The sequence below is a fragment of the Homo sapiens genome, chromosome 3 (genome assembly GCF_000001405.40).
Source record: "Homo sapiens chromosome 3, GRCh38.p14 Primary Assembly".
Lineage (NCBI taxonomy): Eukaryota > Metazoa > Chordata > Mammalia > Primates > Hominidae > Homo > Homo sapiens.
In genome coordinates, this window is record NC_000003.12 from 138,311,712 (window position 1) to 138,329,921 (window position 18,210).

The following is an 18,210-nucleotide window of genomic DNA, read 5'->3' on the forward strand; positions in this document are numbered from 1 at the left end:
AAAACACTGGGTATAGAAGGAACATACCTCAAAACAATAAAAGCCATGTATAACAAACCCACAGCCAGCATCATAGTGAATGGGGAAAATTTCAAAGCCTTCCCTCAAAAATCTCGAATAAGACAAGGATGCCTGCTTTTACCACTTTAATTCAAAGACCCCACCAAAAAACTGTTAGAACTGATAAACGAAATCAGTGAAGTTGCAGGATACAAAATCAACATACAAAAACCCGTAGCATATGTATATACCAACAGCAAACAATCTGAAAAAGAAACCAAGAAAGCAATCACATTTACAATAGCTACAAAGAATATAAAAATGTAGACTTCAATTTAACCAAAAGATGTGAAAGCTCTCTACAAGGAAAACTATGATACACTGATGAAAGAAATTGAAGAGGACACACACACACACAAATGGAAAGATATTCCATGCTGATGGATTGGGAGAATTAATATTGTTAAAATGTTAATAGTGCCCAAGGCAATTTACAGATTCAATGCAATCCCTATCAAAATACCAAAGACATTCTTCTCAGAAATAGAAAATACAATCCTAAAATTTATATGGAACCACAAAAGACCCCAAATAACCAAAGCCATCCTGAGCAAAAATAACAAACCTGGAGGCATCACACTACCTGACTTCAGATTATACTACAAAGCTATAGTGACCAAAACAGCAAAATACTAGCATAAAAACAGACACAGAATAGCGAACCCAGATGTAAATCCACACATTTATAGCCAGCTCATTTTCAACAAAGGTGCCAAGAACATACAATGGTGAAAAGGACATTCTCTTCAATAAATGGTGCTGGTTAAACTGAATAACCATATGCAGAAGAATGAAATTACACCCCTATTTCTCACCATATACAAATACAAAATCAAAATAGATTAAAGGCATAATTCTAAGACCTGATACTATGAAACTATCAAAAGACAACATTGGGGAAATGCTCCAGGATATTGGTCTGAACAAAGATTTTTTGTGTAAGACCTCAAAAGCATAGGCAACAAAAGCAAAAATAGATAAATGAGATCACATCAAGCAAAGAAGCTTCTGCAAAGCAAAGGACACAATCAACAAAGTGAAGAGACAACCCACAGAGTGGGAGAAAATATTTGCAAACTATCCCTCCGACAAGGGATTAATAACCAGAATATATAAGGAGCTCAAACAACTTAAAAGCAAAAAGAAAAATAATCTGATTTTTAAATGGGCAAAAGAGCTGAGTAGACATTTCTCCAAAAAAAGACATAAAAATGGCCAGTGGGTATATGAAAAAGGTGCTCAATATCACTAATCATCAGGGAAATGCAAATCATAAAATCACAATAAGATGTCATCTCACCCCAGTTAGAATGGGGACTATTAAGAAAAAAAAGGGAGGCCAGGTGTGGTGGCTCACGCCTGTAATCCCAGCACTTTGGGAGGCCAAGGCGGGTGGATCACCTGATGTCAGGAGTTCAAAACCAGCCTGGCCAACATGGCGAAATCCAGTCTCTACTAAAAATGTAAAAATTAGCCAGGTGTGGTGGCGGGTGCTTGTAATCCCAGCTACTCAGGGAGGCTGAGGCACGAGAATTGCTTGAACCTGGGAGGCAGAGGTTGCAGTGAGCCAAGATCACACCACTGCACTCCAACCTGGGCGACAGAGGGAGACTCTGTCTCAAAACAAAACAAAGCAAAACAAAAAAAAGAATAATGAGGTGAGGATGTAGAGAAAGGGGAATGTTCATATACTGCTGGTATGAATGTAAATTAGCACAGCCACTATAGAAAACAGTATGGAGGTCCCTGAAAAAACAAAACTAGAGCTACCATATGATCCAACAATCCCACTACTATGTATATATCCAAAAGAGAGGAAATCAAGAGATATCTGCACTCCCGTGTTTATTGCAGCAGTATTCACGGTAGCCAAAATATGGAATCAACCTAAGTGCCCATCAATGGATGAATAAAGAAAATGTGGTGTATATACACAAGGGAATATTATTCATTAATTTAAAAGATTAAAATCCTGTCATTTGTGGCAACATGGATAGAACTGGAGATCATTATGTTAAGTGAAATAAGCCCCCAAGCAAAGAACAACAAATAGCACATGTTCTTACTCATATGTGGGAACTTAAAAAATGGATCTCATGAAGATAGAGAGTAGATTGGTGATTACCAGAGGCCAGGAAGTGGAGAGAGAGGAATGAAGAGAGGTTGATTAATAGGTACAATCTACAGATAGACAGAAGAAATCAGACCTGGTATTCAAGAAATCAGTAGGGTGAATATAGTTAACATTAATCTTTTGTACATTTCAAAATAGCTAGAAGAAAATAATTTGGATATCCATAGCATAAAGAAAAGATAAATATTTAAGGTGATGGATATCCCAATTACCCTGATTTAATTATATGAGTGTATCAAATTATCTTATGTACTCTGAAAATATGCACATCTATTATATATCAATTTTTAAAAGAAAATTATGAACCATTAAAAAATCTTCTCATAGTTCAGATTGCTCAGTAAACTGAATACTCATCTATTTTAAACATATATAAAATCTGAGTCTGCTTTGCTTTTTTCCCTTGCTCATTGGTTCTGCACTCACCCATGTCCTCATCTTCACCATTATTCTTTCCATGGGAAACACATTCATCTTCATCAGAAAGAGCCTCATCTTTAATCTAGTACAAATTGGTCATTAAAAGAAAGTAGTTAGCTAATTAACATTACCACTAAGACCTTCAAAAACCTGTAGAAACTAAAAAAAGCAAAGCTCCAAAACACAGAGAAAAAAATGTCAAAATTATCAGTCTTGGAAACTTTACAGGACCCTTTTTGGTAGTTGGGTGATGGTGTGGGACTGACAGAATTAGAATACAAGAAAATCCACGCTTAAGTTTTAGAGTCTGCCTCTTTTCATAAGCATTAAGTAGAGATAGTTGATAAGAAGACAAAGAATTGAAATGTAAGTAAATATTAAGAGATTGACTATGCAGTACAGAGAAGCCGCCAAGAGATAATATTCCCTTGGAGGAGGCACATGAAAATGTTAGCATTTGCAGTTTTCTTTTGTGAGGGAAAATGGCCAGTTTTCTTGGGAAAAATATGATTTGATTCTAATCCATTCTATAAAAATGGAGCTTTGCTATTTGGAATTTAATAAGAAAACTTGAACAATGAACATGGAATGGTGTTGAGTCACATTTGCCAGATGCTCAAAGCACCAGGAAATACCTCTCTACCTACGGTATGTTGATTTTCAAAGGCAGCCAATTATTTGAAGAACTGGCAGTCAATGTTATCATGGAAATAATGTATCAAAATCACAAGCTTTGCTGATTCTATTTCTCATGATAATGACAGACCTTAATTTCTAGGTTAAAGAAATGAGCCCTCTGAGTTCACAAGTAAAACCTTCAGGAATATGAGCCAGTGGGTCACTAGGAGAGATTTCACCTCAAGGCTGAGAGGAGCCCAGGATAGCTGACTTCTCCTACCCACCACTCCATTCTGTAACTTGATTTTCATTTCTGAATTCATTGTTAAGAGTTGAGGTGGGAGACGAAAGGGAAATGGATAAAATAAAGCACTCTGGATGAAAGAGATGGCTTTTATAAGAAGGTTTCAAAATGCACACATATCACCAGGGCACAGTGCATGAGGAACAGACCCAGGTGAAACTTTTATGAAGCTGTCCACCGACAGCTCCAGGAAAGTCAGGTGAAGGAGATGGGGACTGCTGATCTCGCCCTACTAGCGCACTTGTGAGTTAGCTGCTTATAGAAGTGACCTCCAGTTACCACTTTCCGTTCTCTGCCTTCAGCCAGCACTTTCTTTTCGGCCTCCAGCTGGTCTAGGATGGTTTTCTGCAGCAGTGGGGCATTTGCTCCTCTAACCACAGCCACCAGTTCTCCTCCCTAGAATACGTTACAAACAGCATGAAATACTCTTGGCAAATATTAATCTCTTGTAAGAGATGGCAAGAGTGTCTAGGAGTGTCCCCAAGTTCAAGGTCCCTCAACCCCAGGCCTGTAGCAGCGTGCTCACTTCTGCTGCCCTCCCTTGGCAGGACACCCTCAGGTCTGCTCCTAGGTTTTTTGTTTGTTTGTTTGTTTGTTTGTTCGAGACGGAGTCTTGCTCTGTCGCCCAGGCTGGAGTGCAGTGGCGTGACCTCGGCTCACTACAAGCTCCACCTCCCAGGTTCACACCATTCTCCTGCCTCAGTCTCCTGAATAGCTGGAACTACAGGTGCCCGCCACCATGCCCGGCTAATTTTTTTGTATTTTTAGTAGAGACGGGGTTTCACCATGTTAGGCAGGATGGTCTCGATCTCCTGACCTCGTGATCTGCCTGTCTCGGCCTCCCAAAGCGTTGGGATTACAGGCGTGAGCCACCGCACCTGGCCAGTCTGCTCCTAGTTTTAAATGATTTCTCTTTTTCTGATATCTACCTTCTAGGCCATGCCACTCCTTTCAAAGCTTCCTTCAGGGTAACCAGCAGTTCATTAAGGGAGGAACAATACATAGTAAGTTATGAGTGACTAAGTGTGGCTTACACATGATTTATTCATTCAACAAATATTATTGAGCACTTACTATACCAAGCACTAAGGCAGAGGCAAAGAATATAAACATTAAACATGAAAAAACATAGCTGCAGCCTTCATGAATGGGTAGTAGAGTGGGGAGAGGGATGGCTGGCCAAGCTGAAGAAACAATTACAATACTATGAAATAATTGCTGTAATAGGGAAACTTATAAGGTGCTTGGAACTTGGGGCAAGAATTGCCAGCATCATCTGAGATGGTCAGGGAAGCCTTCACAGTCCAGGTGGTATTTGGGATGAACCTGAGTTTCTGCTTTAACTCTTTCAAAAGTCTATTTATTTATTTATTTATTTATTTATGAGATGGAGTTTCACTCTTGTTGCCCAGGCTGGAGTTCAATGGTGTGGTCTCGGCTCACTGCAACCTCCGCCTCCTGGGTTCAAGTGATTCTCCTGCCTCAGCCTCCTAAGTAGCTGGGATTACAGACACCCGCCACCAGGCCTGGCTAATTTTTGTATTTTTAGCAGAGACGGCGTTTCACCATGTTGGCCAGGCTGGTCTCAAACTCCTGACCTCAGGTGATCTGCCTACCTTGGCCTCCCAAAGTGCTGGGATTACAGGTGTGAGCCACTGCACCCGGCCAAAAGTCTCTACGTTTGTACTCACAAAGAAATGGATCTGGAGAGGGAGAAGTTCACATAGAGTGGGTCCTCCTTCCATTTCCATCCCATTCCTCAGTGGGCCACCATAGGGTTGAAGATTGTGGCCCATGTTTCCATACAGCCAATTAGGATTTATGCTTTAATTGCTATGGGCTCAAGCAATTAAGCCATTGTGGTAATGATCCCATTTCTGCAACTGAGCTCTGATGTCAAGTGTGTCTGGGGCATGCTCATCTCTGAGCTCCTTCCTACTTCTCCCTCCTTTCCTCCCAACCATGTTATCTCATGTAAATTCAGTCTCCCTACTAAAATCCAAAGCTCAAATAATGTTTTATCATAAGTTTCCAATTTGTAATACTTGCAGTGCTGAGGCCAGGAGGCTGAAGTTTTCCAAATTAAACAACCCTAGCCTGGTGTTTGGAGACCTGGTTGAGTAGATCCCAGTATTCCTGACTCTACAATGAGGGGCTGGTCTCAGTGAGGAGGTATATCGATCCATTGCCATCCGAGCCTGGCAGGTGGCCTAAACCTAGGAAGCCAAGTGTGAAACAGTGGGCCCTAAGGGGCATAGAGCTGGACCATGGATGTCACACCCAAGGACATCCAAATTATATTTTCAAAACACTGGGCCACTTGGTTTTCCTCAATAGTCCCTCTCATTTCTAACTTTCTATAAACATATCTTCACATTTTCTGATTAAATAAAAGTGAATGAAGAGCTTGTCTGCCCCATAAAGGAGTATCTATTTTTACTAAAAATTCCCCTTTACGGAGCAAAGGATAGAAATCTTGAAACCCTGTGCTCTGAGAGTGAAGCCTCAGTCTAGAGTATTCATGAGCCAAAAAGGAGCATGTACATTTGAGTGACTGGTACTCTCTCCCTGTGTACAGCAAGTCAGGAAGGTTGCCCCAGCACAGTGACCACTAGGGTGCTGTGTCATCCACCTCCTTGGGCACAGGGCCCTCAGGCTGCCATCCTAGTCAGCAGCTTGTATCACCAGTTAGACTTGGGGGTGGGGGTGTCATGTAGCCAACATCATAAAAATAGACTGGGAGGCATCAGAGAAAACAGCATCACTTGTTTGAATCTGTGAGGCCTCTTGGTGGTTCCCATTAATTCTCCAAGAGTGAATTAATGTCAGTGAGATGCTTCTATTTTGAACTCTAATGATTTGCAATCGTCAAATAGTTCTGATTCTGAAAATGTACTTACTGCATAAAACAGAAAGGTTGGCTCGCACTTCCCTCTGTACTTTTCGAGGACATCAAGACGATCTGCCTCTGCCTAAAGAAAGCCACTATCAGCAGGTACCCTGGATGCAGGGGGTGCAGGGCCCAATTGATTGGTGGGAAACCACACAGGGAACTGAACACCCCCAGGACTGACTTCCCCAGGTAGAGCCCCGATTTGCTCTCATGCTGTTCCTGCTAATCAGAGCTGTCCTATAAAATTGCGGACATGTACTCTCTTGAAGAATCAAATGAGGAAGCAAGAGTATCTCCTACCCGCCCCCCAGCTACTGCACCAGTCCAAGGGAGCGTTACTGGCTAATGTCCTTCTGCAGCCATGACTGACAACCGAGGTGAAGGTCCTCAGGCACCACCTTCATTGTCTGAGAAACCTGCCGCACATGGGCATAAGAGATCCCCCACGCAAGCCCTTCTACAGCACACTCCTTATGGAAGCACCAAGACTGACTGCCAAAGGAGGAACTGCAGAGTCCTTGAAGTCCAACTTCTTGAGTGATTATTGTAAGTTATATTTTCTCCTGTCTTCACTGCCTATGAACCTCAAACCCATGCAGCATATCAACAGTGTCTCTTGCACACTTCTCTGGAATTTATTCCCATTTCCATACATTCATCCAAATAAATATTTGCTAAAAGTTCCCCTTTATGGTGCAGAGGATGGAAATCTTAAAACCCTTTGCTCTGAAAATGACATTTCAGTCAACAGTGTTCATGAGCCAAGAAGGAGATGTGGCTGGGGTGGTGGCTCATGCCTGTAATCCCAACACTTTGGGACGCTGTGGTGGGAGGATTGCTTGAGCCTGGGAGTTCTAGACCAGCCTGGGCAATATAATTATACCTTGTCTCTACAAAAAGTTAAAAAATTAGTCAAGCATGGTGGCATGTGCCTATATAGTCCCAGCTAGTTGGGCAGCTGAGGTGGTAGGATCACTTGAGGCTGGGAGGCAAAGGCTGCAATAAGCCGTGATACCACCACTGCACTCCAGCCTGGGTGACAGGAAAAAGAAAAAAGAAGAGGGAGAATATGCATTTGAGTGACATATATTTCTTCTCTTCATACAGCACCAAGAACTGCTCAAGCCAAGAGGGACACAGGGAGGTGGGGTGGGGAATAGGAACCTTCATAACTAGAGAAATTAGAAAGTATCATGACAGTATCAACAAAAAGTCCACACTGATTCCTTTTTAATGACCTGAGAAAGGTCACTCTCACACTTCTCCTTCCTGACTCTTTTAAATTTTTAAATTCTTTTTACAATGTTGTATGACTGTTGGCTGAGAGAGAATCTTACTAATGCAAAGTGCAGAAGGTCCAGGCCGACCTCGATCCTCATCTTCTGGAAGAGGCTCACCACAGGTTTGCAGGGGCCACACCAGCCTTGATAGACATCAACAACTGTGTGGAACCAAGAAGCAGGAACATTCAGTAGACGCCAGTGCCCACCACACCATGCATAATTTATACCTGTACATTCTAACCCCCCTCAAATGGACATTCATTTGCCGGGATATCTAATGGTTAAAGGGATTTACTATCCCATGAGATTATAAGCCAGGGTGGAAACACAGCTAGTCCTCATTCTTATGAACTTGGTATACTGAATTCTAAATACAGTATAAGCATAGCAGAAAATAATTTTCTTAACATGGCTCCTTTATCTTAAGGGTTCTTCAGGCTACATTCAGGGTTAGGCCTAACACAGGGTGGCCCTCAATTATATTGGAATTAGACTGAAACTGTCTATTCTAAAAAGGAGAGGTCACTGTAGGTGACCCAGCAGCACACAATTGACTTTTATGTAATCCTTTGATAACAAACACAGGTTTGACCTTTTCCTCTGATGAATTAAAAGCCACTTTCTTTGGGTGGAGCAGAGTTTTATCTACTTTAGAAAAATCAACATTTTTCTCCCAGAAAGTGAGCCTGATAGAGAGCTAGAGAGAAACTTGGATACCTTTTTCTTCTTTAATCCCAATCTATAGTACATGTCAGGGCTGGATGTAAGGGAACCCTCTCATCTGAGTGTTGTGAACCATGTGATCAACAGGAAGCTAAGCAAACCAAGCCAACTCCTGTCTACTGGATCTGTGCAGGACCTGCCCCACGCGACCATGAAGCAGCAGCAAGGGCTAGATGGTGACATACCAGTGGCCATATTTTAGAAGAGGGATATCTGCCAAAATGCCTCAACACTCCCAGAGTTCATGCCTGTTCCACACAGGTGAGCATTTCTGTTCAACCGCCAGAGTAGTATAGTCACAGGGAGATAGTGTCAAAATTGCTAATAATTGATTAGCTCTGCCAATTTTAATAGTGTGCAATTTGTGATTTTACTTATTGCAGATTCACATTTCAAAATTTTCCCATCAAGTGAGAACTATTAATATAACACAATATAAACTGTCATCACTAAAGTTAGTATAGAAACTGGTGGCACTGTTCTAACACTGTTCTATAGTAACCAGGGAAGGAAGGCTTCCCATGAAGAGATGACCTGCACTGGGCATTGTAGAGAGCCCAGGCTTGAATGGGTAGAGAGGGAGACTGTGGTGCAAAGGATGGGCAGCCAGGCACAGGTGGCAGACTCAGGGATTCCTGGGCAGCCTGCTGGACCAGACCTGCCCGAGATGGTGTGGTAGGAAGTGGTGGCAGGGATCACTGGAGGAATCTGGAATGTGGGGCTTGAGAAGCTCTATCCTGAATCACTAGGCAATGAGGATTCACAGTAAGTATTAGAAGAGGGAGCTAATATCTTGGACTTGCCTGCATCCAGAATTGTAAGAAATAAATTTCTGTTCTTTATGTACTACCTATCTGTGGTGTCCTGTTACAGCAGCATAAACAGACTAAGCTATTCTGCTTTAGCTGCAAGAGGGCAGGTGCACTTTGCTTTTCTCTGAAAAGCCCAGTGAGATGGATATCATTATTGCACTATACAGATGAGGAAACTGAAGTTCAAAGAGGTGAAGTCATGGACCTAAGGTAAGAAAGCAAATTTTCAAGCAGTATAGCTTAGTCCATTTATGCTGCTATAATGGGACACTACAGACTGGGCAGTTTATAATGAACAGAAACTTATTTATCACAGTTCTGGAGGCTAGCAAGTCCAAGATCAAGGTGCCAGCAGGTTTGGTGGTCAGGTAAGGGCTGCATCCTCTGGAGGAGAATTATACTGTGTCCTCACATGACGGAAGTCAAGGGCAAAAGGAATAAACTCCTTCCATCAAACCCTTTTATAAGGGCACTTAATGCCACTCATGAAGGGCACTACTCCCCTTTTAAAGGCCCCACCTCTTAAAACCATTACTTTGGCCATTCAGTTTCAACACCTGAATTTTGAAGGGGGACACATTTAAACCACAGTACAGCAGAATCAAATTTTAAATCCTGTGTTGCCTGATGCCATAGCCCATGCTCTTTCAGCTGCTCCAGGGAAGAAGCAAGACGCATGAATTCAGCAGTGTTCATTGGTTTAGCCATGTAGCACAATTTTGCAGAATGTGAGAACCAAGCTGGGTATAGGAGGAATGAGGAAGCCAGACACAGGGGTGGCAGAGGGGATAGAATGAAAAGAATGTAGGCAAAATACTAGGGATGAAAATGAAGATGGTGTGAAAAGGACTTCACCTTTGAGCCTGGCAGAGAAAAAGAACTAGCGAGGGGTGGGGAGAGATTGTTGAAGGGGAAAGGAGAACAAACTCAACTCTAAACAGGCTGGGTTTTCAGTACCAACCAGAAAATCAAAGACAAGTGATCACAAAGGCAACCAGACATCCAAGCAGGAGAGGAGGGGCAGGAGAGTGGGATTTGGGTTCCACAGCATCCACGTAGAGGATAAAGTTCTGGGCTTTTCTGAAGACAAGAGTTTCACAATTGACAGATTTTGTTTTTTTTAATTTCAACCTACTACAGTTATTTGGGTGAAGGCCAAAAAGGGCATTCGGGTCAAGCCAGGAAAATGTCCCTGAAGACTTAGAGGGCCCTGTACACAGGCCCGCTGAAAAGGGCAGGTTTAAATCCCAAAGGAAAAAAGCTGGGGCTCAATTAGCCTAAACTCTCTGTGCTGTATTTGTATTGATAGTGCACCTGCCATTTCTACTAGCTTTTCCCTCCCTCTTGGACGCCCTGGCTCTGTGAGGAGTGGTAGGCACAAAGGCACCTTCACAAAGTTATGGAGGAAGCGGGGGTGGGGGGTAGGGGGTGGGAGGGACCAGAGAGGAAGTGTTTGATTTGACTCCGAGTGAGAGGAAGCAAAACAGAGAAGCCACATGGAAGGAATGGCAGAGACAAGAAAAAGGGGTGTGTGTGTGTGTGTGTGTGTGTGTGTGTGTGTGTCTGTGCATGCACGTGTAGGTCTGAAGGGACTTTGGCATGTTGAAAGCAGGTGAAAATGAGCCAGCAGAAGGCAAGATTTCCAAGATACTGGTGGTTCACTTTGGAAGAAAATTTCTGCCGGCTGCAGAGAGAAAAAACACATATCTATGTATTTATATGCTCCATATCTATATATTCCTCTAGACTGCCTGATGAGAAGGAGCAAAGAGGAGGCCTTGCTGCCTTCATTTAACAGAGGCCCTTGAACCATTTAGACCAGGCTTGGCAGAGGGTCAGTGCTCACTGGATGTTAGCTACTATCACATAGGGTGCTTAGCAAGGTGGCTGGCACATGATACATTCTCAAAAAATTAAGGCATGGTGGTTTATTCACAGTTGTTAAAGAAATAGAAATAATGATTTTTTTCACCTGGAGCCATGTTCCAGTTGCCCAGACAAGACACATGGACAAAATGGTTAAGCCTTGGCACCATCAAAAAGGCTTTATAATCCCCCAAACAGTAGAGTGTGGCAATACTGACACCCACACAACTGGATCAGCATTTATCTAGTACCCTCTTGGCCTCAGTCCCAGGCAAGTCTACTACAGATGTGAGATTAAAAAGCCAATGCTGGCCGGGTGTGCTGGCTTACGCCTTAATCCCAGCACTTTGGGAGGCCCGGGTGGGCGGATCATTTGAGGTCAGGAGTTTGAGATCAGCCTGGCCAAGACAGTGAAACCCCATCTCTACTGAAAATACAAAAATTAGCTGGGTGTGATAGAATGTGCCTGTAATCCCAGCTACTTGGGAGGCTGAGGCAGGAGAATCGCTTGAACCCCAGAGACAGAGGTTGTAGTGAGCCAAGATTGCATCACTGCACTCCAGCCTGGGTGACTCCGTCTCAAAAAAAAGAAGAAGAAGAAAAAGCATGCTGTTGTGTTTAGAGTCTAGGAGAAAAGCTGTGATGGTCTTTCCCTACAGGGGCCGCAGCAAGTGGGGTGTGTGCTGGAGGGATTGAGACAGAGTCTCACCCCAAGTGCCCTAAGAGCTCCCAGGAGGGACATGACCACACAGAGGTTCCAGAAGGATTTCATATGAGGAGGCTAATTTTGCACTGGGTCTGGGAATAAGAAAGATTTCTACAGTTGGTGATGGGCCATGATATCCCATCTGGCTTGAATGGGCTTGAATGCTGAAGTCATTTGGTGGAGGGGGTGGTAATGGGCAAGGCTAAGATCAGATACAAGCACACTGAGCAGGTATATTCACAGAGAGAAAAATTGAGCAGGCACACAGAGTAACAGAGCACAGAGATATCTACAGTGAATGAGAAAGAGAAGTAAAGAGTGGGTGACAGTAGGTGGTAGGCAGCCTCTCAGATGTCTCTAATGATCCCCACCTCTTGGTCCTCATGTACTTGTGTAATCCCCTGCCCTGGAGTGTGGGCTGGACCTAGTGACCAGCTTCTGATGAGCAGAGTATGGCAAAAGCAATGGGATATCACTTTCAAGATTAGGCTAACAAAAGGCTGTGACTTCCAACTTGTGCCCTCTCTTAGAGCCCTGTCCTAGGGGAAGCAAGTTACCAGGTTGTGAGTAGCCTCATGGAGAAACCAATGGCAAGAAGTTAACGTCTCTGGCCAACAGCCAATGAGGACTTAAATCCTTCCTACCCACAGCCTCATGAGTGAGCTTGGAAGTGGATCTTCTTAGGTCTGCCAACAGCCACACAAAAGAACTTGGAAGCAAATCTGCTCCTCGTTGAGCCTTGAGATCCCGTCTGATACCTTAACTACCGTGGTGAGACACTCTGAGCCAGAGGTATCCAACTAAGCTATACCTGGACTCCTGACCCACAGAAACTGGGATAATCAATGTTTGTTGTTGTAAAGCACTAAGTTTCTGGGTAAATTGCTAAGTGCAACAAATAACTGATGCCAGGAGGATAGGGATGAGGAGGCCCATAGACAGTGGCCTGCTGTTTCCTAATGACTGCAGTCCCAGGTTCAAGTCCCAGTGATGCCTGGCTCTCCTTCCATCCTTTGAGTTCCAAGAGATCCCTGTATTCCTTCCAATGCATTCTCCTTTAGTGCCTGAAGTAATTAGAAGAGGTTTTCTGTTACTTTTAACACCAAACAACCCTAAGTACTGACTCATTTCCTGAACTGAATTTACTGATATTCAAGCCAGATACACACACACACACACACACACACACACACACACACACACACACACATCACCTGGTTTTTTATGAGGCTCAAGGTAATAGGAAAGTGGTGTTCATTGCAGCCCTTCTCTTCATGGTTCATCACACCATTTAATAATTTAGAAAAGAATGGATCTAAAAAGTTATTTTACTTTGAATTACCAGTTAGTCCTTTGGAACTGAGCATTTCCTCCCAAAGCTCTTGGGTGCTGATGTTGACCTAAAGCCAAAGAGGATCAAATGCCGTATTACTGAGGGCTCAGGCAGGGAAACAATTCAATCTATTTGCTCTAGATTTCTCTCTTCTATCTCTGAAATACTTACAAGTACAGTTCAAGTTATCCTCTCCCCCATCTTCTTTTCTCCTTCCTTCTCTCCCTTCTTCCCTACCCAGAAAAAAACACTATCCTAAGAATGATGTATACTAGTCTCAGGCATTTAAAAAATACTTTTACATGTTATTTGTCCAGGAACAATATATAAATTGTTTTTGTGTCCTTAAAATGTACATAAATACATCAAACTGTAGGTTTCATTTTGAAATTTGTGTTTTCACTCAGTATCAGAATTAAGTTGAATTTATTGCCATTCACTCACATTTTTTTCTTATCCACACAGTTCTGGTTTTATAAATATGAAATACAAGGAGAAATACATATTGTCCCTCTTTATTAACAGTAAAAATTTCTTTTTTTTTTTTTGTTTTTTTTTGAGATGGAGTCTTGCTCTGTCACCCAGGCTGGAGTGCAGAAGCGCAATCTCAGCTCACTGCAACCTCTGCTCTGCCTCCCAGGTTCAAGCGATTCTTATGCTTCAGCCTCCTGAGGAGCTGGGATTACAGGCACATGCCACTACACCTGGCCATTTTTGTATTTTTAGTTGAGACGGGGTTCCACCATGTTGGCCAGGCTGGTCTCGAACTCCTGACCTCAAGTGATCTGCCCACCTCGGCCTCCCAAAGTGCTGGGATTACAGGCATGAGCCACCACATCTGGCCAATAGTAAACATTTCTGTATAATGTTTTTTACTTTGAAATAATTTCAAACTTAGAGAAAGTGTGCAAGTACAGTATAAAGATTTAGGGATTTTTTTTTTTTTTTTTTTAGGTATTTGGAAGCAAATTACAGCTTGTTATCTTATTACTCCTGAATATATTATTCCTATATAACACATTACGATAATCAAAATCAGGGGAAAAAAACACTGACATATTGTGAACATTTAATCCTTAGATAGAGTGCAAGTTTTCCTATTTATCCCATAATGTCCTGAGTATCAAAGGAGCTAATCAGAAATGTGTGCTAGATTTATTTGTCAAGTCTTTTTAGTCTGGAATAGTTCTTTAGTCTTTCTCTTCTTTTCACAATGTTGACACTTTGGAAAACTACATGCCAGGTATTTTGTAGAATGTCCCTCAGTTGGGGCATATCTGATGTTTCCTCCTGATTGGATTCAGACTGTGCATGTTTGGACTGGTTGAAATTGGCTGGACTGGTTGGAGTGTTGGAGAAGCTGAAGATCATTCCTCTCACTACTCCCTAGCAGATGAGACACAATTTCCATCTGCCTGTTACTGATGTTCACTTTGATCACTGGATTAACATGGTCTGTCAGGTCTGTTGTCTGTAAAATTATTCTCTTTTCCTTTGTAATTAACATATTTTTGTGGTGAGCTACTTTGAAACTATATACATTAAAAGACCACAAAAATTACTACTGGGTTTTTTGTTTGTCTTTTTTGAGACACAGTCTCACTCTGTCACCCAGTCTGGAGTGCAGTGGCATGATCATGGCTCACTGCAACCTCTGCCTCCTGGGTTCAAGAGATTCTCCTGCCTCAGCCTCCCAAGTAGCTGGGATTACAAGTGCCCGCTACCACACCCGGGTAATTTTTTGTATTTTTAGTAGAGACAGGGTTTCACCATGTTGGCCAGGCTGGTCGTGAACTCCTGACCTCAAGTAATCTGCCTGCCTCGGCCTTCCAAAGTGCTGGGATTACAGGCATGAGCCAGCACGCCTGGCCTACTATTGTTCTTAATACAGGTATGCTAAGGTCTGTGTCCCTCTAAAAAAGATAGGATGCATTATTGGCAATAAGGGCAAGAAACATGTAACAACTGCTAATCCTCTATTAAAAGTTCCTTTTTTGGCCGAACGTGGTTGCTCATGCCTGTAATCCCAACACTTTTGGAGGCCAGGGCGGGCAGATCACTTGAGGCCAGAAGTTTCAGACCTGCCTGGCCAACATGGTGAAACCCTGCCTCTACTAAAAAAAAAAAAAAAAAAAAAAAAAAGTTAGCCGGGCGTGGTGGCGCATACCTGTTTTACCAGCTACTCGGGAGGCTGAGACATGAGAACTGCTTGAACGTGAGAGGTGGAGGTTGCACTGAGATGAGATCATGCCGCTGCATTCCAGCCTGGGCGACAGGACAGAATGAAACTGTCTCAAAAAAAAAAAAAAAAAAGTCTCTCTTTTAAGGAAGCATAGTCCTTACTTTTTTTGTTTCAATGAAAAGTAGAAGAAAAAGAAACCCAGAAAAGTCTTCTTGATGTCTTAAATGAAATAAGAGAGTTGGACTGACATAACCCTGGGCCCACAACTACAGTCCTGAGGAAGGTGATAGAAGCGTTCGGAAGGGCCCCACACCCCTACCCAGAGGCTCAGACTTAAGTCACCAGCAGCTCTCTGTGGCCCACCCCTGTCATGGAGTGAGTCCCACCAGCTCTGGGGCCAGGACTCTGGGCAGTTGAAGAATCTCAGCCCTGGGAGCCAGGCAAGAGTGGAACAGTGTGGGAACTATCCGGACTTCACTAAGCCTGCATTTGGTAGGGAATGAATAGGGAATGTGTGGCACCTTTTACCCAGACTGTCCCTTGATGTCCTGTGATTTCTGCCTGTCTCAGTTATAAAGGGAACCCTGAATAACCTTGCTGAGAGAGAGGACAAGGTTCCTGGGTTGGCCAACTTTAGGCATTGCTTTCAAGGGGTTTACCTTATAGAGAGGTGACCTTTACACAGATGCCTCAGTAGAAGACGGGAGGGGAGGCTGCTCGCTCTCCTCCTTTCAGCAGGAGGGAGCACTTAGTTTGAGTACTGCATTGTACTCAGAGCTCTGAGTAATACACATGAAAAAATAACAACATTGCTAACAAAAGTTATTACCCCCATAGGAGCTCTAGGGCATCAACACATGAAATGACCATAATATGGGGCAATAACATTAGAGACACCACAGACAACATCAGACCAGCCAGGAAGTGTCTAAAGGAGTCTCATCACAGCTCTGCAGGCGTTACAGGACAGGTATCATCCCTCCTGTCTACGTAAAGGATACGGAGGCCAGAGAGTTGAGGAAATGAGTCACACAGCAATGAATGGTAGGACCAGTTGATCAGAATTTACTTCAACCAGAACATTCACGTATGAAGTGGCTTCTGACTCTAGAATCCTAGAATATCAAGGCTGGAAGAAGGCCCTTAGGGATAATTCACACAACATCCTCATTCCATAGATGGGCAAGCTATAGCCTGGAGAGGTTATGTGATGTAGTCAAAGACACAGTTGGCTATAGAGGACACAAGAACTACATCAGGTCTTCTGACTTCCAGTCTAAAAATCCCACCCCACCCCACCCCACACCCCTCCCACCCCCAGCATGGGGTACCCTTAGAATGATGCTGCTTTCCCCTTTCCTCTTTTTTAAACCACTAGGCTTTTGAAATCCACATGCAAACTGCTGGTCCTGCTGAGGACAATAAGAGAGAAACCAGATGTCTCAAAACCACTAATGCTCTATTATCTAGGAGGCGCTGTAGCCTTGGTATGCATCTTACTGGGGCCAGCTGATGATGAGGCATTTTAAGTTCGTTTTAAAATGTTCCCATGTTGCAGATCATCCAGCTGATCTCCTTATGACCAAGCACTCTCTCCTAATTCCAGGGTCTATGCCTGCATGTTTTTACCATCACTTCAGAATCAACCACTATCTATTGTCCAGGACCAAGAAGAAGAGCAGCTGCTGGCTTCTGAATTCACTTGTCCCACATGCAAATGAAGTAAGACACTCTATATAACATATGTCCAGCACATAATATATCTCAAAACATATTTGTTAATAAGTGAAATTTGATGAGAACAGTGGTGGGAAAACTGGGTCTCCACAGAGCACACAGTTACAGACTCATGCCCAAAGTCAAAAGAACCTATACTGTATTCTCTGTGCAAGCTGCAGTTGTATTTCAACAAGAACAAAATAACGGTCACATCGAGTTATGTTGATTCGTATTTTCTTAGTTTATAGTTTTATTTAATGCATGTTTAGGTTTTATGGTTGTATAAGCACTATAAATGTAAACAGCTTCTACTCAGTTTTGTTTGCATTAATTTTGTTTGCGTAAAATTTGTCATCACTGGGGTTCCAAGATAAGTTTTGTCCCTTTAAGACGGAAGGGTACATCACTCAAGTTTGAGAACACTGTCACGTACTGCTGGCAAACAGAATGTCACTTTTATACTGCAACCCCGCTCTAATCACCCTCCTCTTCCCCGAGCCCAACCCAGAGCTGGAAGCTAGCGCCCCTTGAGGCTTACCTGCAGGGCAATTTCCTTCTTCCTGCTGCCCATGGCTCTGCAAAGAAGACGAAGCCCTGTTACCGCGGCCGTGGGCCGTTCCCCCGCAGCCTCGCGACAAACCGCTGCGTGGATCAGCAAGCCCAGAGCCTCCTTCAGACAAGCCCCCCTCCTACGGCCCCCGGCCCCTTTTTAAGGTGCTTCTAACTGGCGGCAAATCAGCACACTGATACAAAGTGAACACCCCGCGAGGAAGCGGAGCCTGCAGTCCACGGGCTCGTGGCTCGCCGGGCGGTTTTCTGGGGATCTGCGAAGCCCCCTCCCCACCCCGGAGCCGGCCAGGGGGCGCGCGCAGAGGCCGGAGTCAGTGCGCCGGGCGCGGTGCAGCCTGTCGGGCACAGGGTCGCCAGTCGAGGAATTCTGACAAAAAAACGACATGGGACCCTGTTATCCCTGCTGTTCTTATGGATTACTGGGAAAGTGAGCCACTGCGAACGACAGGTACAAGATCTTCGACGCGCCCGGAGTCACCAACCGAGTCTGCCGCGACCTAGCCGCGGTCGTCATGGCAACCTGGCCCCCCCGCCAGGCCTGCCAGGAAAGCCGGCGGACACGTAAGCCACGCCCACTCTGGGCCCAA

The 18,210-nt window shown here is 43.7% G+C and overlaps 1 protein-coding gene across 10 annotated transcripts in view; it reads right to left on the reverse strand.

The window, feature by feature from the left end:
- Positions 1 to 18,140, reverse strand: part of NME9 (NME/NM23 family member 9) — a 68,416-nt gene extending 50,276 nt beyond the window's left edge. For 3 of the 10 annotated variants that reach the window (XR_007095675.1, XM_047448078.1, NM_001349018.2), the window contains exons 1-6: positions 17,592 to 18,140; positions 13,162 to 13,219; positions 7,767 to 7,870; positions 6,437 to 6,508; positions 3,816 to 3,932; positions 2,621 to 2,696 (exon numbers count right to left, since the gene is read on the reverse strand). Coding sequence is in view for 9 of the 10 variants with exons in the window: in XM_047448078.1 (XP_047304034.1) it covers positions 2,621 to 2,696; positions 3,816 to 3,932; positions 6,437 to 6,508; positions 7,767 to 7,870; positions 13,162 to 13,219; positions 17,592 to 17,624 (460 nt within the window). In the remaining variant the exon portion in view is untranslated. Of the gene's footprint in view, positions 1 to 2,620; positions 2,697 to 3,815; positions 3,933 to 6,436; positions 6,509 to 7,766; positions 7,871 to 13,161; positions 13,220 to 15,319; positions 15,418 to 17,591 lie in introns of all 10 variants that reach the window. The other 7 variants (NM_001349021.2, NM_001349020.2, NM_178130.4 and 4 more) reach the window with 6 other exon arrangements.
- Between the last annotated feature and the right edge of the window lie 70 nt (positions 18,141 to 18,210).